Source organism: Homo sapiens, chromosome 4, assembly GCF_000001405.40.
Source record: "Homo sapiens chromosome 4, GRCh38.p14 Primary Assembly".
Classification (NCBI taxonomy): Eukaryota; Metazoa; Chordata; class Mammalia; order Primates; family Hominidae; genus Homo; species Homo sapiens.
Window position 1 is genome coordinate 16,594,349 of NC_000004.12, and position 26,544 is coordinate 16,620,892.

Consider the following 26,544-nt stretch of genomic DNA (forward strand, 5'->3'; position numbering starts at 1 on the left):
ATCATTCAGGTGATCATTACTTTCCATGTAGCAAAAGTCTCTTGTCAGCCAGGACTTCTGCATCCAGTGTGAAGCTTCTTTGTCTCTGACTGACAACTCTCCTCTCTGCCTGTTAGAACAGGAAGAAAGAAAAACCCTACCCTTTCCTACATTTAAAAAAGTCTACGGACAAAATTAAGATGCCGTAGAATTAATGGTATTTGATGATTTGTTTTTGCATTTTACAACCATTTCCTTTGCCTTTGGTTTCGTACACCAGCATGGGCACTGGAGAGATGAAAGTATACCAAAAAGATCAATGAATAAATAAGAAACATTATATTTTTATTCTTGCAGCAAAATTGCATAAGTAATAAACACATCTTCAGTTTTATACATTGGGCTTCTGCAATTAACCCTGATGATTCAACCTCTCCTAAGTATAAAGAGAGCGTTGTCATTTGTGTTTTGAACTAAAAGAGATAGCTATCATTAATATCACAAATTAGTTTCATGTTGAGTCTTAGTCAAAATGCAGTAAACTAGTGTTCATTAAAATAAACTTCTGTTTGTCAGATTCTGTGATTAAATATTTGTTCTTACTAATTTTCCTACCTGCAAAAGGACATAAAGAGATTATCTGTAGTGTTCCAGAAAGGTCTTTGGTGAGAGGGAATATTCCATATGTCAATTTCCTATGTAGGGCAAGGATCATAGATCTAAAATGTATAGAAGATGAGGTTAAATCTCCATCTCTTCTATTTTTCATTTCACAGCCTTCATGGGGCTTTGAATTCAGCCTCAAACATTGTGATAATCCGATCCTGACACTTGCCCTCCCCTCATTCACTCTTTTGTAAGTATACTTGTTCAGCTGCTTGTTGAATTCCCTAATTTCATTGACATTTTAAAGTTTTTATGTTCCTTACAGATTACAGTTGGGTCATGGTTAGAGGATTCTTCCCTTATTCAAATTTGAATCCAGCTCTAAAAAGTTATTTCAGTAACAAAGCTGAAATACAGTGCTGACCACGCGAAAATAGGATATTTCTTTCAGCTATAGTAGATCTTTTGTATAAAACAACAATTCTAATCTAGCAACTAAAATTTAAAAGGCACTAGAACCTCTCTTCCTCTTAGTTTTGGGCTCCCTCCTCTTTGATTTTCATGTGCTCAGAATCTCATGCACACATCTTAGAACCGTGTTCACCCCAAGAGTCAAGCCATGTCACAAACAAGAAAGATTCTCTCATGGTGTTGAAAGTGTCTGGGAGATGAGCAATCGGCCCCAGGTTCCATAGGAAAACCATAATTATTATTCTTTAATGCTCTCAGAGTAGGAAAAGCCGGGCATGTGACAGAGCCTGTCCTGTACCTTGGTAAACATGGGCTTCCCGTGCTGGGTGACCATGGTACACTGGTCGCAGTCCACCGTGATGGATGAGTTGTGGTATGACTCTTTCGAGTGTTTGAGAATGTAATACAGGTCGGTCACCCCTCCTTCAAACACAGTGCTAAAGTAACGGGGGATGAGGGTCCTGCCGATAGCTGGGAGAGAAACACAGAGAAACAAACCATTAACAAAAATATCCCACCAGCCCCACACACCCAACACCATTGCCAAACCTCCTAAAACCGGATACTGATCATCTCAAGAAACCATACCAGGAGGCAAATTTCTCTTTAAAAACAGCCATGACCCTTCTGGGTTGCAGTTAATAAAATATAATCCCCAACTATTCAGGAAAAATGCGTCCAGTCATCTCTCTAGATTTTGTGTCCACTGCAAGTCAATAAAATAAGGGTTAGTACTTTAAAAATAATAGGGGGGAAATGCATGAACTACTTTGGACCTTGTATACTTTTGGAGTGAACATGTTTATAAAAATAAGACACTTCCAATCTGCTTGGATTTTTTTAATGCATCATGTATGTATAGGCCAGTTACCCAGTCATGTTTTATTTTTATTGTTACTAGTGATAATATAAATTTTAATAACATAATGCTTTGTAGTGTGTAAAGTATTTTGGTATTCTCTCACTGTATCTTCAGAACAATCCCAAGAGAGTGCAGGACTGAGATCCGAAAATGTTATTATGGAGGGGAAATAAAGGTTATTTTGAATGCTTCAAGGTCACGTGACTTGTAAGTAAGTATTTGGGGTCTCTAACTGCATGTCTATAAACACCCAAATAACTGCTCTTCCCAACACTATGTCTCCAACTGCTTTAAACAATGGAAATCTTTACAAAATAATTCCCATCTCCATATACAAAGAGATCCATAACTATGTAAATACTGATTATTCTATCTGCTTTTGGAGCTGTGTAAGATCTCTCTCTAGAATAAAAGGCTAATTTTAAGAGAAGTTGATACCTTTCACTTGGTCTAAATTGGTCTCTTTCATTCCATGTGTCTGGTCCTGTCCCATTTTAGTTTCAGCGATTGTGTAAGTAGCTGGGCCTTTCTGATACAGGATGCTTAGAAATCTGTAACAAGCCCTTTTTTCAGCAGCGATTTGAAATCCTCTTACACTGGAAATCCCAACTCATAATATCAGGAATTTTGCCTATGTGCAGATTTTAAGGCAAAGTTCTAAAGCACTCTCAAGCAATCCAAGGTTTTTAATAAATCTCTTACATTCACTATATAATACCCTTTGAAAGACAAAAATAATATTTAAGATAAATAAACTACCAAAGAAAGCTTTAGCTAGGAAAGATCACCCAATCGTCACTTGAATGTTTTAAAATATTTAATTTCATTTTAAAAGAATCAGTGATAATCCACTTTGTGTGGATCTATATCTCTTTTGTACATGAACTTGGAAAAAATAAGTATAAAGAAAATACCCTGCCAAATTGTTTTCTGAAATGATTTTAAGGAATCCCCATATGGATGACTAGTCTCTAAATAATTTACACAGTTGTTATTGCCTCATATTTGCTGCAGGTAAAATCAGTCAACAAGTGTCTGCTAAATATTCCAGGATTTTCGGTGATTCCATCCTAGATAATCTTTCTACATACATTTTCTTAATACTGCCTAATCCCCAATACTGCATGCTCATTTTCTAAATATAAAATTCAAATGAGAGTAATTTGAGTCCACCATGTCCTTTAACAAATGCATAGCTAATATTATAAAGAAAACTTTGTAATGCTAAAATCCATATTGTACTTCACTAAACAGATAAAATTAATTGAATGCATTTCAAATATTCTAACTTAAAGCTAATTATCACAAATCAGCCTAAGTAATTTGACAATTTGGGATTCATACCGTTGAGAATAAATGCAAACCATAAAAATGCAGATGTAGGCCAAAGAATTGTCACATTAAAAAGGTTATGGCAAATAACCACCATTGGATTAGTAACATTATACTTTATTTATCATGAATCCTGCACAAGTTAATTCCTTTAGAGCACTGTTTGCTATGTATCACCATCGTTTTCATTCATAATATAAGAAAAGTTGAATGGGAAAAAGGTTTGAGAGTCTTTAAGTTTAAACCTAAGTTTTAAATTACTTCCCCAAATCCAGAAAATGTACAAATTATGTAGTAAATACACTTAAAGAGAAACACAGCTTTGCTTTATTGAATAATTTCTAGCACTCTAGGAAATGGTTGCCATGGATACTGGAGGTTTGTTTTCAGCCCTGTTTCCTTTGTGAGCCTGCCCTCCCATTTTCCCATGGTCCTGTTTAGACCATTAGTCACAAAGGTTCATTATCCACCATAGCAGACTAAACCCACAGTTCGGTGCCCCAAGTAAACCATGACAATGGTATTCACGCCCTTGTGTACGTAGTCCCCTCTTCATAAATCTGAGCTTGGCCCTGTGATCTGCTGTAATCAACTGAATGTGGCATGACTATCCTTGTATCAGTTTTGGGCTACGCCTTTAAAAGAACTCGAAGCTTTCACTTTGTTCTCAGGAAGAAGTCAGTTGCTATGTACAAAGTCCTACTACTCTAAGACTGCCATACCATGAGAAGCCCAACCTAGCCATGTGGAGAGGTCATGTGAAGGAGAACTGAGTCTTCCAGCCAGCAACCCCAGCTGAGCTTCCAGCCAACAAACAGCACTAACTTGCATGGGAGAAGCTGTCCAGGAAGTGAATCCTTGAGCTCCAATTGAGCTGCCTCAAGCTGGTGTCACGTGGAGCAGAGATGAGCTGTCCCTGACATACCTTGCACAAATTTCAGAAACATAAGTAAATAAAAGAAATATTTGTATTTTAAGTCAACATGTGTTGAGGTGTTTTTTTAATGTGTCAATAGATAACTGCAGCCCCTTTCAACCACGCTAGCCACAAGTTAGTCAAATAAGAATCCTTCCCTGAAAGAAAGAGGGAAGTTTTGCCAGGAAAAACTTGCAAGTCATGGAAATATAGGAGCCTGAATACAGAAGAAAAGCAAAGCAAATTGACAGAGAGTCTTCATGGGCTGATTTGGGCCCTAGTCTCAGCTGGGAATAAAGCCAATGCCATCCCTCAGAGGTCAGTCTCACTTATGCGAGGTGCGCGCCTCCTTTTCTTTCTTTCTTTTTTTTTTTTTTTTAAATTGGCTCAAGCTAGTTCGTGTTAGATTTCTGTCATTTGCAAATAGAGAAATCCTGACCACTGCAGTCCTGTTCCAGCATGGGCAGGGTGGTAAACACTGAGAGAATAAAGAGGAAGTGATGAGAGCGATCAGCTACAAGAGATATCTGACTCTGTGCAACACACTGTGTTAGAAGCTGCAGGAGATTAAAAAGGTGTCAGAGATTGTATTAGTTTCCTGTTGTTGCTGTAAAAAATTACCACCAACATAGTGGCCTACAACACCACAAACTTATTATTTCATAGTCCCGACAATCAGACATAGGGCTTGCTGGGCTGAAGTCAGGTTGTCAGCAGGGCTGAATTCCTTTCTGGAGGTTCTCAGGGAGAATCTATCTTCTTGTTTGTTTCATCATCTAGAGGATGTTCACACACCTTTCATGTGGCCCCTTCCTCCATCTTCAAAACTCATAGTGGGAAGTTGGGGCCTGGCGAGGCATCATTCTCACTCTGTCTTCTGCCTCCCTCTTGACTTTCAGGATCCTTGTGATTGCCCTGAATCCACCCAAAGAATTCAGGATAATCTGCCATCTCAAGATCCTTAACTTATCAGATCTGCAAAGCCCCTTTTGCCATGTAAGGTCACATTCACAGATACCAGGAATTCAAACACGGATACCTTGCAGGGGGCATTATTCTGCTTCCCACAGAGACTATACTTGCCAAGAGCTTCTGTTCTACAAGGGAGAGCAATAAAAAATACAAGAAACACACGCATACACCATGCACATACGCACGCAATGTGCAATATATAAATAATGCGCAGTGAATGGGACAGACAGCCAGAACAAAATCCCATGTGCCTGAAGAAATCATTCTATTGATCATTCATCAATTTCTTCTGTAAACATTCACTGAACCTGGAGTAGGTATAAAGCTCCATGGTTGACGGTCGATGCTGCAAACACAAACTTTTGTCCCTCTCTTTCAAATTGATTTTTGAATTTGAATTAGATTTTTGTCCCTGTCTTTCAAATTCATTTCTATCAGGAGAGGTAGCAAGTATTTAAGTATCTATAACATGATGTGATCGCTGATAAAGCATAAAAATGGGTTTATGATTTTGAACTCTTTATCAGTATCTCCTGTATCCTGAATTCAGTGTATGATTTTATTATTTCTGAAGCTCTGAGATGAGCATGTTCTTTTACTGCAGTCAACCATGCCACTGCATTGCACAGTCAGATATAAATGACTAAATCAGTGAACATTTCAGATTTAGGTTCAGCGGTCACCTAACTCGACAGCCACACCAGTTCCAAATCTATTTAGATTTTATACTGTTACAATCATATGTCAAAGTTACACTTTACATTTATACTTTAATCCCTGGAATTAAAATAATTTAAATATTGATATACATAAATCTACATTGTGCTCCTATGAAAAGGATTATGTCTTCTGAATTTTGTTGGAGTGAGATTAAGATTATAGTAGATTATAAAGGCGATGGTATTTTTCTGACACATTTAGATCAAAGGTCCAAAAGTTGGGAAGTGTGGAGAGCCAGAGAACACAGGAAGATTTTCTGTGATGTTAGGTGAGTAAAATATACCATACATTATTTATCTATGTATTCATGAAAGATAAAAGAAAATCACACATTAAATTATTCAGGTGTTGAAATGTGTATAAAGAATGTTACACTTTATAGGTAAATATGATTAGTCCAGAAATAGCTAAGATTTAATTCATAGCTAATTGAGCTGTGGATCCCTGCTTTCAAGCTCCTTAGGGAGATTTTCGTTGTTGTTCTATTTTGTTTACATCCATCCCTACTCCCCAGAAATTCTTGCTATGGAAGTTGATAGGGTGACGGTGTGGTGGAGGCAGGATCTAACTTCTATCTTTTCTTGTAGGTATTACTTGTAGATATTAGGATATCTACAGGATATTCATTGATGTTAATTAACTTTTTTCCTTGTTTAGAAACAAAATGGTGTAATACAAGCTGGGAGCTCATAAAGAAGACATAAACTACTGTGCCTCCTCCCCAAAGCAGAAGGTCTGCCTTTTAGAGCATTTTATCTCTTTTAGTAATTATGAAATGCATTAAAAAAAACTTAAGGATGTTTATAAGTAATTCACATGAAAGAAACTGCGTGTAGAAAATAACCACATATGAAAATATTCGAACTAGTTATTGAGGTACAAAGTTAAAATAATAACAAAAGGATTACAACATAAACCTGGTGAGGCTGTGGTAAAACAGATATACACAAATACTTTTAAGGAAATCAACGTAGTGATTATTTCTTATTTTGAGAATTTCTAACTCTCTGGAAGTCTGTTAGGTGGGACTCTAAGCTCTTGGTAAATACCCTTACCAAACTGCAATTCTCAAGTTTATGTTTAAGTGCTCTGAAGTTCTACAAGCCTTTTGAGAAACCATCATCTAATGTAAGACTTTTTAATTTCAGGGCATGAATTACAATTTTAGATGCCTGCAATTTCTATGTTTCAAAGACAATTCACTTCCAAGAAACAGAAGGGGTTGAGAGTCTGATTTTCATAAAATGTGGAGTAAGAGGAAAATTTGTAACTAACAATATATTAATGCCATTTAACATATTATCACTATTTAGCTGATGATTTTGCAACTCTGAAAAGAGAGAACTATATAACCAAGCACATGTTTTTAATTAGGTAAACTTAATTATATTAAAATTATTTACCATACTAGGATTTAAAAAATTTTTATCTAAACATGAAAATAGATAAATTCGTTGGCTAAATCTGGGTAGTTTTATGTGGTTCTGCTAGAGCTTCTGTAATTCTGCTATATCTCAAAAATCCAAATGGAAATTCTATTATTCAGATACATAATAAACACCAAGAGTCATTAAACTTTAAACTTATCTGTATTCAGAAATCAGTAAATGCATTATGCTGACATACAAATGAATATGCTCCTAGGAGTGAGATAAACAAGACTGATGATTTTATTTATGGTAAATAACCATTATATATAGCCAAAACAATGGAAGTAAAATATGCTTGACCTGTGATGGGGGTGATACTAGTTCAAGGTAGATCTTGTTGTTCTTGGTGAAGGGAATGCAAGTCGAATTAATTAATTAATTTTACTTTTATAAATTGGCATGACTTTCATTCTAATATGCCTTTTACTTATTTTCTCAAACTAATTTACTTGAATATTTTCTCTCTGATGACCTGTCTTGTGATTTCAAAGATTCATTTATTTCATATATACTTATTAGGTAACTACTACAGGCCAGATATTGTTCTAGGTGCTAGAAATAGACGAGTAAGGAGACAGAGAATAAACTTGATAGCTCGGGAAGGCCAACTAGTTTAGATTGGCCAGCCTGGAAGGCTGCCGTGAAAAAGTGATGATGGAGGTGAGTCCCAATTGAACAAAGCCGTGCGAAGATCTGGAATTAAAGAGGTCCAGGCCCAAGAACCACAGGGGCAAAAGCCCTAAGACAGGAATGAATTTTGATTGAACGAGTTTAGTGTGCTACGGTATCAGAAAGAAGGCTTTGTGGTAGGAGGGTGGTCAAAGAGAACAAGATGATAGAGATGAGGTCACAGAAAGAGGCAGGGTCAGATTATGTGGGACTTTCTAAACCACGGCAAATGGCTTCCGTTTTATCCTTAGTGCAATGTCAAGACATTGAAAGATTTTAGCCAATGATATAATTTACTCTGTTTTTCCTAAATGCATTTTCCAGCTGCCAACATGGTCTCAAAACACCATGAAAATTTTTGATCCTCTTATAAATAGGCATTTTTTCTTCCACTTCTACCTACCAAATTTTTAATAACTTGACCAAGACTTCAGTCACCCTACCTTGCAGTAGATGCTAAGTGCTAGAGAAACAAGGATGACCAAGACAGACCCCACTCCTGCTGTTACAGAGCTTTGGATCAAGCAATTCTTAGCATCATTAATTCACCAATTAAGGGCATGCAAGATGTGTGTCATGGCTCCATCTTGTCTCTCCTGTTTCCCCATTGTCTGACACACAATAATGAATAAGTCAATGCAATAAATATGTGAATTTATAGGTCTCAAGTCATAGAAGCTTACATGTAAACCTGATAGAATTCATCTCATTTAATTGAACCCATTATTTCGACATATTCAGGTTATTTTGGATCTTGATTCTGTCAGTGATACTATGGGCTATTTCTTCTAGATGTGTGTCTTTCATGGTGACAAAACTCTTTCGACTTTGATCTAAAGTACTGACAATAACATTGTATAGGAGAAGTCCAGAGCAATGGAGACCTCCTTCTAACTGGACTTCTTAACATGAATCAAACACCCTGTAAGTATGAAATTGAAATCCTTTAATGACTTCCATAATAAGTCCATGCTGTGTTACTAATGGCTTGTAAAGATAGTACAGAGTCCATGTGGAGAGAGTGAGGTGTCAGAGAAAGACCTGAGCTAAGGGATGCAGAGATGTTAATCAGGCACAGAGGGCGCAGCAAGAGAGTGGTCCCGGCAGAAGCAACAGCATTAGTTAGAGAAGGTGGTATATTCCCGTGATCTAGGCTGCTGCCTTGGTCAGATGTTATATATTTATACCTTGGAGGATCTCATCTGGATGAGCTACTCCATTACATAGAGCTCCTGCTCTCTCCTTATGACGATACAATAGTCTTTTAGTTATTAAAACTTTAAGATGTAGTTTACGTCTGACAGATTTATTTTTGCCCTCTGTATTACTCTTTTATGTCAGCATTTTCATAACTGTACTCTGTTTTTTATTCTTCATATGAACCTTAAAATAATTATGTTAAATTCAAAAAAGAAATAGGGAGAGAAATTGATTCAAATTAAATTAAATGTACTAAGAAAAAGTTGGCATCTTTAAAATATCCAATCTTCCTATAAAGGAATACGAAATGTATGTCCAGTTGTTTAAATCTTTATTTTTATCTTTAAGAAATTCCATAGTTTTTCTTTGTTCTTTCTTTTAGAAAAAGGGTCTCACTCTGTCACCTGGGCTAGAGCGCAGTAATGCAATCATAGCTCACTGTAACCTCAAACTCCTGGGCTCAAAGAATCCTCCTGCCTCAGACACCCAAGTGGGCTGAGAACACAGGTGCCACCATGACAGGCTAAATTTTTTACTTCTTTATAGAGACGGGGTCCAGCTGGTCTTGAACTCCTGGCCTCAGTAGATCCTCCTGCCTTGGCTTCCCAAAAGGCTGGGATTACAGGCATGAGCCATAGTGCCTGGCCAACAAATATGTTGCACCCTCTGAAGTTTGTAGTTTTCTATATTTGGATACTTAACATTTCTTAAGATCCTTGAATATTTTAGTTATGCTAAATGGTTAATGGAATTTTAAAACTTGTATTTCTATTTGTAACCCAGGCATTTAACTGAATATTCATTAATATTAATAGCTTTTGGGGAATGTTTTAAAAAGTTTTCTAGGCAAAATAATCCACTATTCCCAAATATTGATATTTTTGTTCCCTTTCTCCTTACCTATATATAGATTCTCCTTTCCTATATATAGTCCTGTTCTAACCATTGCAATAACATGAGAATATATATATTCTTATATATATATAGCAATAACTTTGCAATAACATGAGAAAATATATATATTTATATATATATATGTATAACAGAACTTTCAGAAAAATTTTAAATAATGAGGGAAGTAGCGAGCATTCTTTTTTCTCCTTGATAGTTTTAGGGAATGTATCTAGGACTAGGGGAAGTACTAAATGTTGATTTGAGATCTTGTTACTTGCTATGGAAAGAAAAACAAACTATTATCCTATTCCTTGGTTTTATGACTTTTTTCTTTTTAATCCTGATAAATGTCTAATTTGACTGTATGCCTTTTCAGCAATAAAGCAATTTTCCTTTAGAAAACGATTCATTAATATATTTTCAATTATCGAACACCTTTTGCACTCCTAGTATAAACCTTACTTTCTCTTATGCACACATATACCACATTTTTGGATAAATTTAACTTATGAATTAATTCATTCCTTTCACAAATGTCAGTGAAAGCAGCGCTCTATTTGAGCCACTTGCTGGATGCTAAGTTAGAAAGATAAGGCCAGCAAAAGGTTTAGTCCAGTAATTCCCAGCAGCATCTCCTAATCCCAATGGATTCCTGAAGGTCTTCAAATGCAACTTTAGCTAGTTCTATATTTTTTTAAAAAATCATTAAAAAGGAACATACTTAACATGTTTCTCTGATTCGAGTAGGATGATCCCGGTTATGGTAATACTGATTAGCTCTTGATTAGTGATCATGAATGGCACTTAACAGATGTGGGAAAAAATAAAATATAAAATGCTGACAGTTATTTAATAAAAGTAATGAGGTTATCCATGATTATATTCCACACCTTCCTTTTAATAGGAGAGAAATTCCACGATCAGAGAAGTAAAACTACATAGCTTACTTGGAGTTAGGGTGCAATAAAATGGAACACTTTTTGTTTTTGATCAACCAATGTTGGTTAATTTCTATGTCTTGATTTAATTATAATTAGTTTTTAAGTCACATTAGTAATACATGTGCAAAAAACAAAAAAACAAAAAAAACACCATATTACTCTCACAGGTACTCACTAGCTCGTCACAATAAATTTGATTCTTTTCTCCAGGTGTTGAGTTAGACCTTACAGAATTATCAAACTCCCTTTTAGCTCAGTGCTGTCTTATGACAGAGTTGTGGCCAGTGCCTAATGGACACTTCCATTGTTTTCATTTTGTTCAACAGAATAGATGTCAAGAAGGGAAATCCCACTTCCAGACAGGCCAGTAAAATCATTCTGTGTGTAGCTGGTGCACTATCTCCCTATCTCTGACATCCAGACACTGAAGACACAGTGGGCAGATTCCAGAGACCTCCCCGCCCTGCTCACTGCCCTAAGGATGGAGGAGTCAGGAAATGGAGGAGCCTCTGGTTTCCTAAGTTACCACCAGGAGGGGGAACTGCCACATTTGGGGAGAACTCATTTGGACTTTGGAGCAAAAAATACCTTTCTATGGTGTTAAGACATTGGAATATCAAACTTTATTTGTTTAAACTGCTAGGGTTAAGTAAAACAGTTACCAGTAAGTGTAGGTTCCCTGACCACCCTATACCCACCAATCTCAGTGCCTTCACCACTTCCTAGCTCACCTTTTTATCAATGTTCCCTAGCCTTTAGATTTTTAAATTATTTTGTTTCATTGTATTTTGTGTTTATTTACACAAAGTTATATTAAATGTATCTATATGGTAGGATTTTTCTTTTATTAGTCAATAATACGCTTTCAGCTTTAAATATGTTAGTGTACATAAGAAGACTCATTTGTTGATTTTAAATGCAGCATTGTATTCTAGAGTATGGCTCTATCAAAATTATCTAGATATTCCCATGTTGAGGGACATCAGAGATTGTTTTACATTCTTTTCTCAACAGGGTAGAAAGGGAAATATATATTTTATTTTACTAGGTACCAGAAATTGTCCTTCAAAATGCTGTTACCAATTTGCTTCCTTATCAGCCCTGATAGTACCTGTTTCACCCACAACTTTCACCAACACTTAATATTGTCAAGTTTTTAATTTTTTGCCATTTAGATCATAAAGCATGTCCCTCACAAAGTGACAGCCCTCAAGTACTCAAAAGTTTATCTGCATGTAAATGATAAAGGTAAATAATTAATGACAGGCATCCAGCTCATGTGGTTATTGCTCCAAGTGACTAATTTACATTTGACCTTTTCAGATGGTTTGCAGTTTTCTACTCAAAATCCATTCACTTGGCTGCATGGAAAAATTACTCCAGACTAGAGAAGTAGAAAAGAAAATCTACTCCTTTATTTTTCAAAGTTGCCAAACTCTAAGAGTTCTTATAAAATTATTTCAATATGTTTTATCAGGACTTCTCCAACTCAAACCAATGGGGACACCCTAAGTCATTGAATTTTGTGTTTTAATATCAACACGATTCATCTGGGTTAGAGAAATGTTGCCAGAGAAACAGACATATGTGTGTAATTTCCAGTTTAACCTAAACCAGGAATCATCAACCGTTAGCAATTCTAAGAGTGGTGAGAGAGGTGATTTCCTTTCTGTAGAGAGAAGGCAGACTTGGGTAAAACTGGTCCTTTCCTCAGGGTTGGATATTATACAAGACATTCCTTCTAAAGTGTTAAGCAGTTACTAAAATAGAAGCTAATAAAACATGACCCTTGAAAGGGGATTTTGAAGTCAAAAGAAAGGTTTGTAGAATTAAAATAATAAACTGGCTCTCCCCCACACCCTTTTCTCAATGCCATTTCAATCTCATCTACTTCCTCAGTGCTGCCATGCACTTGCATTCTTTGAAACCTTTGCTCATTCAGCATCCGCCACCCAGGGGGGCCTTGCTTCATCTCTTCTGTTTTATCCAAACTCATAGGCATCCTCAAGTCTCAAGCTCCAGAACCATCCTCCTTGCCCTTTTGTCTCTCATTCTCTCCTTTGTATTCTTAAAGTGTTCATAAACTTGAGCACTGCCTTGAAAGTTTCTGATTCACACACTGGCTGTGCTACTTACTCATACTGTGACCTTGAAGAAATGATTTATGCTCTCTAAACCCTAGTTTCTTCAGCTGCAAAATGGCAATACAACAATAACTGCTTCAGTGGGCAGTTGCAAATATTAATAACACTATGCACGTGAAGTGCTTAGCACAATGCCTGACACATGTTAGCTCTACTTAATCACTCCCATAATACCCTGTTTATGCACAGATTTGGGACTCATCACACTGCATTGTAATCATCAATTTTATTGTCTTTCCTTCAGTGACTGTAGTTCCCTGAAGGCAGAGAACGTTTCTTGATCATTTCAGTATCATGGCACATTTGTGATGTAAATAGCTACTTATGAGATGTTTGGCAAGTGGATAAATGTGGACTTGGCACGCCTATTTGGACAGTCTGCGAATCTCAAACCTGTTATGCATACGCACGGGTTTCTAACACAGAGGTAAGGCCACTTTCATTTCAGGTTCAAGAGAATCAAGACCACAAAAAAGGGGAAATAAGGTTTTAGGGCCCTGCATCTGGAATTTTCATATCTCAATGTTCTAGTCCAGAACATGGTTTCTGGTTTAGAGTAATCACTTTAAAAGATTCATTTTTAAAGTTAATTTTGAGTTCTGCTAGTAAAAAATAAAGTCTCCTATCTAAGACAACTTAGTTTTGATGGGGTTTCTACCTTACCATACTGTATGTGTGTGATTCACAAACATCCGACTCCATACAGAAAATCACACTTCTTCAAAAAAAAAAAAAAAAAAAAAAGACTATTTGCATGCCAGGTCAGCATTCCAGGGGCATTTTACAGGAAGTAAAAGTCCTTGGAAATGAGAAGCAGTAAAAAAAGGGTCAGATTCACATTCCTCGGGAGTCCACAGGGGGCTGTGCTTCTGACCCTTGGATTGTCTACAAGAAAAGGAACAACCGTTCCAACAGAGAATTAATGTTGCATAGGCTCTCAGGCAGCAGGACGGAACAGCCCAATTATACCCACCCATGTCTGAAACATTGCCTGGGCACCAGCTGTGGGGTATGACATTCTGTGTGCAGGTTTTCGGCAAGAGAAAGCGGCCTCTGCGCATTCTATGGGTTCTGAAATGGCCCTGGTCAACCTGATCCTTGGACCTAGGTGCCAATGCTTACAGCAGCACGTCACTAATGTCTCTCATAGGTTAAAACACACATAACAAGCGCACCGGACTTTCCGCCATTATCCCATCATTCTTCCTTGAAGCTGTCCCATCACCTTTCAGTGGGGGACTGGGGCTCCATTCCTAAAGATGAATGACATCTCTGAACGGTCTGCACTCCATCACCTCCAGGACGAGAGGAGGGCTTCTGACAGGGAGAGAGGAACACCAGACATCTGCTGGACCACACGAGTCAGGAGCAGGGCTGCTCCATTGCAGGTCACAGCTCAGGCTTCTCTCTCTGGCTTCATTCTCTCTCTTCTGTCATTATTAAAAACTAATAAGAAGGTCTGGGGGGCGGGGCCAAGACGGCCGACTGGAAACAGCGGAATTCGGAGGCTCCCATAGAAAAAACCGTAATAAGCGAGTGAATCCTTCACTAGCAATCAAGGTATCCATGTTCTCTCATCAAAATTGACTAGAAGACTGGTGTGACCCATGGAGAGAAGGAAGAACAGCGCGGGGCAGTGGCCTACCTGAGGGCCACACAGGGAAGGGGAACCACCTCCTCCCAGCCAAGGGAGATGGTAAATGAGCGTGCTACCCAGCCAAGGAAACTGTGCAACCTACAGATCAGAAGATCCCACTTGCGAACCCACGCCACCGGGGTCTAGTGTCCCAACCCCGGAACCAGCAGATTCTTAACAGCCTCTCAGCTGGAATCTGCTTAAGCCTACTGAACTCCCAGGGGAGGGGGCGGGGGGGGGAGGGGAAGGGCAACCAGCTGCCTGCTGTCTAAGCCATTTGAGCTCCTTGGGGGAGGGGCAGCAGCCAGCACTGGGACTCACAGCTGCCTAAGCTCCCTAGGTAGGGGAAGAGTGGCACCCATTTCTATAGCTCCAGGCTGTGCTTTTCCCCTGCTGGAGCCAGGGAGGCTGGACAGCTTGGTCCCAAGACGTGTCCCCACAACCCAACACATCGGCTGTGGCAGTCTGCGGCCAGAGTGCCTCTTCAGGCCCAACCCTGACCTATCCTCCCTCAGGCAGTGCTTCCCTGCAGGATCTCCAATAACTCCAGCCAGAGGCTCAGGGGCAGAATTCAGATCTCCCTGGGCCTGAGCCCCTAGGCGGAGGGGGAGAGGTGGCTGCAGTCTCTGCTGACCAGCAGACTTAGCCTCTCCTCCTAGTAGTTCTGAGGAATCTGGATAGCACAGATGAGAGGGTTTCCCCTCTCAGCGAAACACACTCTCCCCACCAAGGGACAAAGCACTTCGTTAAATGGGTCCTGCTACCTGTGCCACCCAACTGGGTGAGATCCTCCAACAGGGGTTGTCAGACACCCTACTGGCATCCTAATGGCATCAGGTTGGTGTCCCTTCGGGTCAGAGATCCTGGAAGAAGGAGCAGACACCCATCTTTGCTGCTCTCCAGCCTCCTTGAGTGACATCTCCAGGCATGGGAGCGAATCAGATGAATATGGCCTGAAGTGAACCTCCAGCAAACTGCAGCACCCCTACAGAAGAGGGAGTTGACTATTGAAAGAAAAACAAACAAGCAGAAAGTGGCAACAATAGCATCAACAACAAAAAGGCCCCCACAGAAACTCCATCCAAGGGTCAGCAGCCTCAAAGACCGAAACTAGACAAACTCACCAAGATGAGAAAGTATCAGTGAAAAAATGCTGAAAACCCAAAAGGCCAGAGTGCCTCGTCTCCTCCAAATGATCGCAACATCTCTCCATCAAGGGTGCAGAACGGGGCAGAGGATCAGATGGATGAATTGACAGAAGTAGGCTTCAGAAGATGGGTAATAAAAAACTATGATGAACTAAAGGAGCATCTTCTAACCCAAAGCAAAGAAGCTAAGAACTTTGATAAAAGGTTAGAGGAATTGCTAACTAGAATAACCAGTTTAGAGAGGAACATAAATGACCTGATAGAGCTGAAACACACAGCATGAGAACATTGTGAAGCAGACACAAGTATCAACAGCCAAATCGAACAAGTGGAAGAAAGAATATCAGCTTGGAGACCACCTTACTGAAATAAGACATGCAGACAAGAATAGCGAAAAAAAAAAAATGAAAGGAATGAACAAAGCCTCCAAGAAATACGGGACTTCATAAAAAGACCGAACCTACGATTGACTGGAGTACCAGAATGTGATGGGGAGAATGGAAACAAGCTGGAAAACACCCTTCACAATATTATCCAGGAGAATTTCCCCAACCTAGCAAGATAGGCCAACGTGCAAATTCAGGAAATACAGAGAACGCCATTAAGATACTCCACAAGAAGATCAACCCCAAGACACATAATCATCAGATTCGCCAAGGTTGAAATGAAGAAAAAACTGTTAAGGGCAGCCAGAGAGAAAGGCCAGGTCACCTACAAAGGGAAGCCCATCAGACTAACAGAGGACGTCTCAGCAGAAACTCTACAAGCCAGAAGAGATTGGAGGCCAATATTCAACACTATTAAAGTAAAGAATTTCCAACCCAGAATTTCATCTCCAGCCAAACTAAACTTCATAAGTGAAGGAGAACTAAAATCCTTTCCAGACAAGCAAATGCTGAGGGATTTCGTTACCACCAGGCCTGCCCTGCAAGAGCTCCTGAAAGAAGCACTAAATATGGAAAGGAAAAACCAGTACCAGCCACTGCGAAAACACACCAACATATAAAGACCAATGACACTACAAAGAAACTGCGTCAACTAGTGTGCAAAATAACCAAATGGCAGCATGATGACAGGATCAAATTCACATATAACAACACTAATTTTAAATGTAAACAGGCTAAATGCCTCAAGTAAAAGACAGACTGGCAAATTGGATATGGAGTCAAGACCAATTAGTGCGCTGTATTCAGGAGACCCATCTTACATGCAAAGAAACACGCAGGCTCAAAATGAAGGGAGGGAGGAAACTTTACCAAGCAAATGGAAAGAAAAAAAAAAAGCAGGGATTGCAATCCTAGTCTCTCACAAAACACTTTAAACCAACAAAGGTCAAAAAAGACAAAGAAGGGCATTACATAGTGGTAAACGGAGCAATTCAACAAGAAGAGCTAACTATCTTAAATATATATGCACCCAATACAGGAGCACCCAGATTCATAAAACAAGTTCTTAGAGACCTACAATGAGACTTAGGCTCCCACACAATAATAGTGGGAGACTTTAACACCCCACTGTCAGTATTAGACAGATCAACAAGACAGAAAATTAACAAGGATATCCAGGACTTTTACTCGGCTCTGTATCAAGCAGACCTAGTAGGCGTCTACAGAACTCTCTACCCTAAATCAATAGAATATACATTCTTCTCAATACCACATGGCACTTATCCTAAAATTGACCACATAATTGGAAGTAAAACACTCCTCAGCAAATGCAAAAGAACGGAAATAATAACAAACAGTCTCTCAGACCACAGTGCAATCAAATTTGAATTCAGGATTAAGAAACTCAGTAAAAACCACACAATTTCATGGAAATTGAACAACCTGCTTCTGAATGACTCCTGGGTAAATAATGAAATTAAGGCAGAAATCAAAAAGTTCTTTGAAACCAGTGAGAACAAACAGACAATGTACCAGAATCTCTGGGACACAGCTAAAGCAGTGTTAAGAGGGAAATTTATAACACTAAATGCCCACATCAGAAAACTAGAAAGATCTCAAATCGACACCCTAACATCACAATTAAAAGAGCTAGAGAGGCAAGAGCAAACTAATCCAACAGCTAGCAGAAGACAAGAAATAACTAAGATCAGAGAAGAATTGAAGGAGACAGAGACACGAAAAATCCTCCAAACAATCAACGAATCCAGGAGCAGGTTTTTTGAGAAAAATTAACAAAACAGATTGACCACTAACTAGACTAAGAAGAAGAGAAAAAAGAATCAAATAGACACGGTAAAAAAAGATAAAGGGGATATAAACACTGACACCACAGAAATACAAACTACCATCAGAGAATACTACAAACACCTCTAAACAAATAAACTAGAAGAAATTGATAAATTCCTGGATGCATACACCCTACCAAGACTAAACCAGGAAGAAGTTGAATCCCTGAATAGACCAATAACAAGCTCTGAAATTTAGGCAGTAATTAATAGCCTACCAAACAAAAAAGCCCAGGACCGGACGGATTCACAGCTGAATTGTACCGGAAATACAAAGAGGAGTTGTTACCATTCCTTCTGAAACTATTCCAAACAGCTGAAAAGGAGGGATCCCTCCCTAACTCATTTTATGAAGCTGGCATCATCCTGATACCCAAACCGGGAAGAGACAGAATAAAAAACGAAAACTTTAGGCCAATAACCCTGATGAACATTGATGCGAAAATCCTCAATAAAATACTGGTAAACTGAATCCAGCAGCACATTGAAAACCTTATCCACTACAATCAAGTCGGCTTCATCCCTGAGATGCAAGGCTGATTCAACATATGCAACATATGCAAATCAATAAGTGTAACCCATCACATAAACAGAACCAAAGACAAAAACCACATGATTATTTCAATAGATGCAGAAAAGGCCTTTGGTAAAATTCAACATCCCTTCATGTTAAAATCTCTCAATAAACTTAGGTATTGATGGAACACATCTCAAAATAATAAGAGCTATTTATAACAAACCTACAGCCAATATCATATTGAATGGCAAAAGCTGGAAGCATTCCCTTTGAAAACCGGTACAAGACAAGGATGCTGTCTCTCACCACTCTTATTCAACATAGTATTGGAAGTTCTGGCCAGGGCAATCAGGCAACAGAAAGAAATAAAGGGTATTCAAATAAGAAGAGATGCAGTCAAGTTGTCTCTCTTTGCAGATGACATGTGCCAATGCAAAATTCAGTCATCCAACATATGTTTATTTATGAAATGCCTACTATGCATTTATATTCAAAAAACCCCATCATCTCAGCCCCCAAATTTCTTGAACTGATAAGCAACTTCAGCAAAGTCTCAGGATACAAAATCAATGTGCAAACATCACAAGCATTCCTTTACACCAACAATAGGCATGCAGAGAGCCAAATCATGAATGAACTCCCAGTCATAATCACTACAAAGAGAAAAAAATACCTAGGAATACAGCTAACAAGTGATGTAAAGGACCTTTTCAAGGAGAACTACAAACCACTGCTCAAGGAAATAAGAGAGGACACAAACAAATGGAAAAACCTTCCATCCTCATGGATAGGAAGAATCGATATTGAGAAAATGACCATACTGCCCGAAGTAATTTATAGATTCAATGCTATTCCCATCAAGCTACATTGACATTCTTCACAGAATTAGAAAAAAACTATTTTAAATTTCATATGGAATCAAAGAAGACCTTGTATAGCCAAGACAATCTTAAGTGAAAAGAACAAACTGGAGGCAACACACTACCTGACTTCAAACTATACTACAAGGCTACAGTAACCAAAACAGCATGATACTTGTACCAAAACAGACATACAGACCAATGGAGCAGAACAGAGACCTCAGAAATAACACCACACATATACAATCATCTGATCTTTGAAAAGCCTGCCAAAAACAAGCAATGGGGAAAGGATATCCTATTCAGTAAATGGTGCTGGGAAAGCTGGCTAGCCCTATATAGAAAACTGAAACCAGACCCCTTCCTTAACACCTTATACAAAAATTAACTCAAGATTGATTAAAGACTTAAATGTAAAACCCAAAACCATAAACACTCTAGAAGAACACCTAGGCAATACCATTCAGGACATAAGCATGGGCAAAGACTTCATGACAAAAATGCCAAAAGCAATTGCAACAAAAGCCAAGATTGACAAATGGGAGCTAATTAAACTAAAGAGCTTCTGCACAGCAAAGGAAACTATCATCAAACTGAACAGGCAACCTACAAAATGGGAGAGAAGTTTTGCAATCTATCCCTCTGACAAAGGTCTAATATCCAGAATTTACAAGGAACTTAAACACATTTACAAGAAAAAACAAAAAAAAAAAAAAAAAAAAACAAGCAACCCCATCAAAAAAAGTGGGCAAAGGATATGAACAGATACTTCTTAAAAAAAGATATTTACGTACCAACAAACGTGATAAAAAGCTCAACATCACTGATCATCAGAGAAATGCAAATGAAAATCACAATGAGATACTATCTCATGCCAGTCAGAATGGTGATTAGTAAAAAGTCAAGAAACGGCCGGGCGCGGTGGCTCACGCCTGTAATCCCAGCACTTTGGGAGGCCGAGGCGGGCGGATCATGAGGTCAGGAGATCGAGACCATCCCGGCTAAAACGGTGAAACCCCGTCTCTACTAAAAATACAAAAAATTAGCCGGGCGTAGTGGCGGGCGCCTGTAGTCCCAGCTACTTGGGAGGCTGAGGCAGGAGAATGGCGTGAACCCGGGAGGTGGAGCTTGCAGTGAGCCGAGATCCCGCCACTGCACTCCAGCCTGGGCGACAGAGCGAGACTCCGTCTCAAAAAAAAAAAAAAAAAAAAAAAGTCAAGAAACAATAGATGCTGGTGAGGCTTTGGAGAAATAGGAACGATTTTACACTGTTAGTGGGAGCGTAAATTAGTTCAACCATTGTGGAAGACAGTTTAGCAATTCCTCAAGGATCTAGAACTAGAAATACCATTTGACCCAGCCATCTCATTACTGGATATATAACCTAATGGAATATAAATCATTCTACTATAAAGACACATGTACACATATGTTTATTGCAGCACTATTTACAATGGCAAAGACATGGAACCAACCCAAATGCTCATCGATGATAGACTGGATAAAGAAAATGCGGTACATATATACGATGGAATGCTATGCAGCCATAAAAAAGAATGAGATCATGTCCTTTGCAGGGACATGGATGAAGCTGGAAGCCATCAACCTCAGGAAACTAACACAGGAACAGAAAACCAAACACCACATGTTCTCGCTCATAAGTGAGAGTTGAACACTGAGAACACATGGACACAGAGAAGGGAACAACACACACCAGGGCCTGTTGGGGGGTGGGGGGTGAAGGAGGGAACTTAGAGGATGGATCAATAGGTGCAGCAAACCACCATGGCACACATATACCTATGTAACAAACCTGCACATTCTGCACATGTATCCCATTTTTTTGGAAGAAATTAAAAAAAGTGAATAAATAAAATTTTAAAAAAAGAAGGTCTAGGGAACCCTCCTGGGATTCGTCCTCCCAAGGCTCCTTAGGCCTGAGCCTCTGCCAGGAGTGGGCCATGGGGTCAAGAGTGGGGACCTGGAGCAGCCCTGCCTAGGACTTGACTCCGTGCTCTGCCTTATGGTAGCTGTGTAACCTTGGGCAAGTTCCTTAATCACTCTGGTCTCAGGTCTCTTGTTGGATAAATGGGAATTAGAACAGAAGCAACCTCATGGGGATGTTGTACAGATGGTATAAAACCATCCATGAAATGCTCTTGCCTCAGGCGAACTCTACCCCCTTACCCTAATTAACTTTTCTTCCTAACATTCATGGATACTCACATTATATACTAGTTACTGTATCAACCATTCCCCCACAAGAATACAAGCTCCAGAAAGGGAAGAACCATGTCTTTTTGTTACTGGTTATTCTCTCAGAATGCGTAGTAGGCGTTTCATAAATAAACATCTGTTGGATGACTGAATTTTGCACTGGCACATATCAAGATAATGTGTTGACTACTGTTAGTTATTTTATAATTTTATTATTATTAACTTGCCATAAAGATTAAATAACACAGAAAACACCTGATTCCCAGTGTGTGTTCAATACATAGGGAATAAATGCTAGCAAAAGAGAAAGGGAGAGATGGAGGATGAATGGAAAGAAGGAAAGAAGGGTCAATGCATTCCCAAGCAGAGGTGCTGAGAATAAAATCAACTTGATGTCCAGGTAGGCAGTGGGGCAAAGGGGTGGTTGGTGTCAGGAGAGTGAGGAGATGGAAACAGCCACCTGAGTCTCTGGCCAATAACCCATTTTGAGTGAATTGTAGGTTGGGGAGACAAGGCCACCAAGAGAAACTGTGTTTCCTAAGAGTGACTTGAGGCTGCCCTGGTGCTGTATGACTCTGCATTTGGGGTCTGGAGACATCTTTCTGTATCAGAACCTACTCCTTTTGCTATTTCCCAGAGCTAGGAGACCAGGGACATAGAGCTTGGCTGCCTCCTCGAGTAAAAGTCCCCTGACACCACCCCATGTCAATATAAATGTATTATGTACCTAGGCAGGTCAGGGTAATCTAGATCAAGTTCTCCTGTCTGTTATTATTTTCTCAAATCTTTGGAAACTCTTGGTATTATTTTTATAGTTTGCATTCAAATGATTGTTAGTATGTACCTTGCTACATAATAACATCTCTTCAATTATCCTACTCTTTATCCCTCTATCTTTCCCTCCTCCCCTTTCCTCTCCCCCAAGGATTTTGTTATTAGAATTTCACCCTCTCCTCAGAGGGAACATTTTAACAGCATGGGTTTATGGCAACCGTAAAGAAGGAAGTTGGAAAGGCAAAGCCGGACGTGATCCCCAGTTTTATAACAAACTCCTGTCAAAACATAACAAACCCCAGCCAGACATGAGCTGCAGTGACAGAATGCAAGACCATAAAGATGATGGAGATCAGATGGGACAGGCACTTTATAGAAACAAACACCTTCCTTGCAAACAGATAGGGCGAGTGGAATACTGAAAACCCTCCCCGGGAAAAAAAAAATGGTAGGAAGAAATAAGAACAAAAACATAAAATTCAAATGACAGCCCAGCCCAAGGAGATAAACTCGAGGCAGACAATCCAATTTTACTAAATCAAGTCGACATCTCCTCCTGACCTTAATTGACCACAGTAAGCTGGATCCTGAACAAATATAAAATTAAGAAGTGATTAACACCCAGTGGAGAAATGGACCATTCAAGTGTAGGTGTTGGAAGTTTCACTCTCGGGACACACTCGGTTTTGTATAGAAAACGTGAAATCATCCATTCCCTTGGGGATGGCTGCCAAGGAGCCATAGCACCGCAAGAGGTCAGAGATTCAGTGTTCCTAAGAGCTACACATGGAAGGTTTTGTAACTGTTTAGATCCTGCACTGTGTCCAAACACAAATTCAGGTTTCTATGGTATTGTCATTATCAGAAAGAAGTATGCAGAAGAAGAAGAAGTGAAACTAATATATGCAGCTTACTGGGATGCCAAGACGCATAGGAAGATTTTTTCTACTATTAAATTGGAAGCATGATAAATGGAGAGAAGGAGGAACACTAACCTGGCCTGTATTGATGGAGTCCTTTAGATGTTAGGGGTGGGTGCTTTGAGAAGTCTTCCTATAGTCTCTCTGGCTTTCCTCTGCTGAGCATTCTTTCTGACTGCTCTTCTGTCTTGTATTTTTCTGGATAATTCTTTCTTTTTTTGAGCTCCCAACTTGGGAACTACTTCCTCCAGGGTGCCTTCTCTGATTTCCACAGGCCAATTCTGTTAGGCGCACCTCCTGCAAATTCCATTAACTACGTACACTTGTCTATTACAGCATTTTTCACACTACAGTGATCCTCACACTTAGACTACACCTGGGGAGGAGCAGGTTAAGATAACGATTCCCAGGCCTCACCCCCAGCAGCTTCCATTTTCACTGGACCGGGATAAGCCTAGCGTCTGACACTTCTAACAAGTGTCCCAGGTGCTTTGGAGGCAGGTGATCCCCAGATCAGATTCAGAGACACTCTGCTTTATTTGAATTGTCTTCATGGCCTATTAGTGTGTGGGTTCCATGAGGACAGACACCCTATCTGCCTTGTTCGCATTCATGCTCATAGGACTTGTCAGGGCACCCAGCACCTAATAAGAGTGATGCCTTGTATATATGTATATATGTATGAATGTATATGTGTGTACATATGTGCATGTGTGTTTGTGTATGTGTGTATATACACATATGTGTACATACATACACATATCCACACGCACATATACAGTTATTGACTGAACGTGACATGGAGTTGTGTTTGGTAGGTGACAGAATCTGCTCTGCTCTGTTCAACAGAGAGGACAGTGCGGCCGATTCAGGTATGGAATACTGGAAGGAGGTGCAGTGTTCCATAGCCTCCAGTTGCCATCACAGATTTTCTCTGTGAGGGTTTCCAGGTGATATGGTGTGGCTCTGTGTCCCCACCCAAATCTCATGTTGAATTGTAATCTTCAGTGTTGGAAGAGGGGCCTGGTGGGAGGTAAAGGAATCACAGGGGTGGATTTCTCCCTGCTGTTCTCATGATAGTCAGTTCTCACGAGAGATCTGGTTAAGAGTGTGGTCAGTTCTCACGAGAGATCTGGTTAAGAGTGTGTAGCACCTCCCCCATCAGTCTCTTCCTCCTGCTCCAGCCGTGTAGGACATGCTGGCTTCCCCTTCGACTTTCGCCATGATTGTAAGTTTCCTGAGGCCTCCTCAGTCATGCTTCCTGTACAGCTTGCTGAACCATGAGCCAATTAAACCTCTTTTCTTTATAAATTACCCAGTCTCAGGTAGTTCTTTATAGCAATGTGAGAATGGACTAATAACCAGGAGAACCAATGGGATCCTTAGAAAACAAAAACAAAAGCAAAAATTTTTTGCTGTGATTGACAACTAGGTAACACGCTGGCTGCCTTTGTCCTGCCAGAAACTCCTCAAGGCTTACCCTACTGCAGACCACACCAGGCTACAGACCCTGATCAGGAGAACTCCATCCCACCAGGTGAGAACCTCCCCTAGTGGTCCTTCTGCTGAGAGGATAAATATTTCAGTTTTCAAACCACCAGGACTGCATTGATGCCATGTGGTAAGATAATTTTGGAAAATAAATTGGAAAGATGAAGTTTCTTTTCTAACATTCCCAAACTGTTATGTTTCTGAGATGGGCCACACTCCACTTAACATGTTAAAATACGTTGGAGCACTGAGCTTTACCCAAGGTTCATTATAGTGGAGACTTTGCATGATGAATTTGTTGAAGATGAGGGATTTGCAGCAATCCAAGGAGGTAATTCCCAGAGCCACCAGGCCATCGTAAGCATGGCCTTGATAACCAGGGTGATCATTCGTGCAATTTCAGGCTGTGGATTTATGAACAATATCTCACCAGTGGATAATATCGGTTGTCAAGTGTATGTTTTATTACCCCTAGAACTCCCTTTTGTCTTTGCAAGTTGCTAGTGGATATCTCTGTTTTTTTTTTTTTTTCTCCTGGCTTCACAGAAATTTGGAAGGGGTTTATTTTATTTTTCTTCTTTTACCAGAGAAGTTAATATTAATAGTAAGGAAAATTAAAAAGAATAAAATAAAGATAGCAGATAAAACATTATGAATAACCATTTCATCGGCACTTTAAATACTATGGAAAGGATTCTAAATGCATATTTTATTATCTGCAGCTAGTGTAGGAGGATCTTGTATAATATGTCAGAAGCATGCTTTCTCCGTCTGAGTTATTATCAGAGTTGGGATAAAATTTTCTGCTACATGTCTCTAGCCTCCTGTTGTCCAAAAGTTCCATGAAGGAAGAGACCATATCTATCTTGATCGCCTCCATATCTTTAATGTCCAAAACAGTGCCTGGCAGAGTTGCCAAATAATTAATGTGTTCATCCATCACAGTTAGTCTCTAATTGCTGGATGACTGAGCTCACTGGATAGGCTCATATCAAGTCAGGCAGATAGGATCCAGGAAAAAGGATGATCCTAAATGTAAGGTGCAGGCAAGAAAAACCAGACATAAGTAAGTTCTGAGTTGTTAGAATTATATGACTCCTTAGAGTCTTAGATGCTTAGATGTGGGAAACCAACAACAAGCTAAGACAAACATGAAGAACCCAGCCAGGAAATAGGTAAGGATCATCTTCCAAATCAATAGAGAAATGAGTGTTGCCAGGGAATGTTTTTCTTGATTCCTAAGTTTTCTTCTCTGTGGACGAATTCCCATTAAGGTGATACTTCTCGCCTCTCTCTGCCTTCTCATTCACTCCATCTGGGGAATGTGGGGAGGTGAGAAGGGTGATGAAATCTTATCAGAGAGCTTGAAATTTAGAAGGTGAAACTTGGGCATGTGTAGCCAGCCCCTTCCCTTCCTCTTCCTGTTCTTGAATACAAGCTCTACAGGGAATGTGTGTTCTACTCAGCTTCTCCAAGGGGAGCCTCTGTCCTATAGGCTGACCAAGTGCTGGTGACTGGGTGGGTAAGTCTACTTGTTCCTGTACTTGATAGTATAAAAGTTATTTGCCTGAAGACATAAGCCATGTTCTCCAGTAACTGTTTATACCAGAAT

General features: G+C 39.5%; 1 protein-coding gene and 1 long non-coding RNA gene across 24 annotated transcripts in view, besides 1 other annotated feature; one reads left to right on the plus strand and one right to left on the minus strand.

Moving 5' to 3' along the window:
- Positions 1-26,544, minus strand: part of LDB2 (LIM domain binding 2) — a 397,105-nt gene that overhangs the window by 92,808 nt on the left and 277,753 nt on the right. For all 22 annotated transcript variants that reach the window (XM_017008813.3, XM_017008821.3, XM_005248197.5 and 19 more), the window contains one exon: positions 1,355-1,527. In XM_017008813.3, coding sequence (XP_016864302.1) covers positions 1,355-1,527 — 173 coding nt within the window. The remainder of the gene's footprint in view (positions 1-1,354; positions 1,528-26,544) is intronic.
- On the plus strand, positions 741-4,227 carry LOC124900604 (uncharacterized). 2 transcript variants are annotated; one of them, XR_001741395.2, is made up of 3 exons: positions 741-835; positions 2,033-2,129; positions 3,922-4,227. It is a non-coding gene; the product is annotated as an uncharacterized LOC124900604 (long non-coding RNA). The 2 variants fall into 2 exon arrangements; XR_007058070.1 differs by having other exon boundaries at positions 2,033-2,125; positions 3,922-4,052.
- Positions 14,870-15,390: an enhancer, noted in NCBI's record as "H3K27ac-H3K4me1 hESC enhancer chr4:16610841-16611361 (GRCh37/hg19 assembly coordinates)". NCBI's record gives its function as "activates a minimal SCP1, AML or CMV promoter by ChIP-STARR-seq in naive H9 embryonic stem cells {active_cell/tissue: H9 hESC(naive)}" and the evidence as "EXISTENCE:reporter gene assay evidence [ECO:0000049][PMID:30033119]".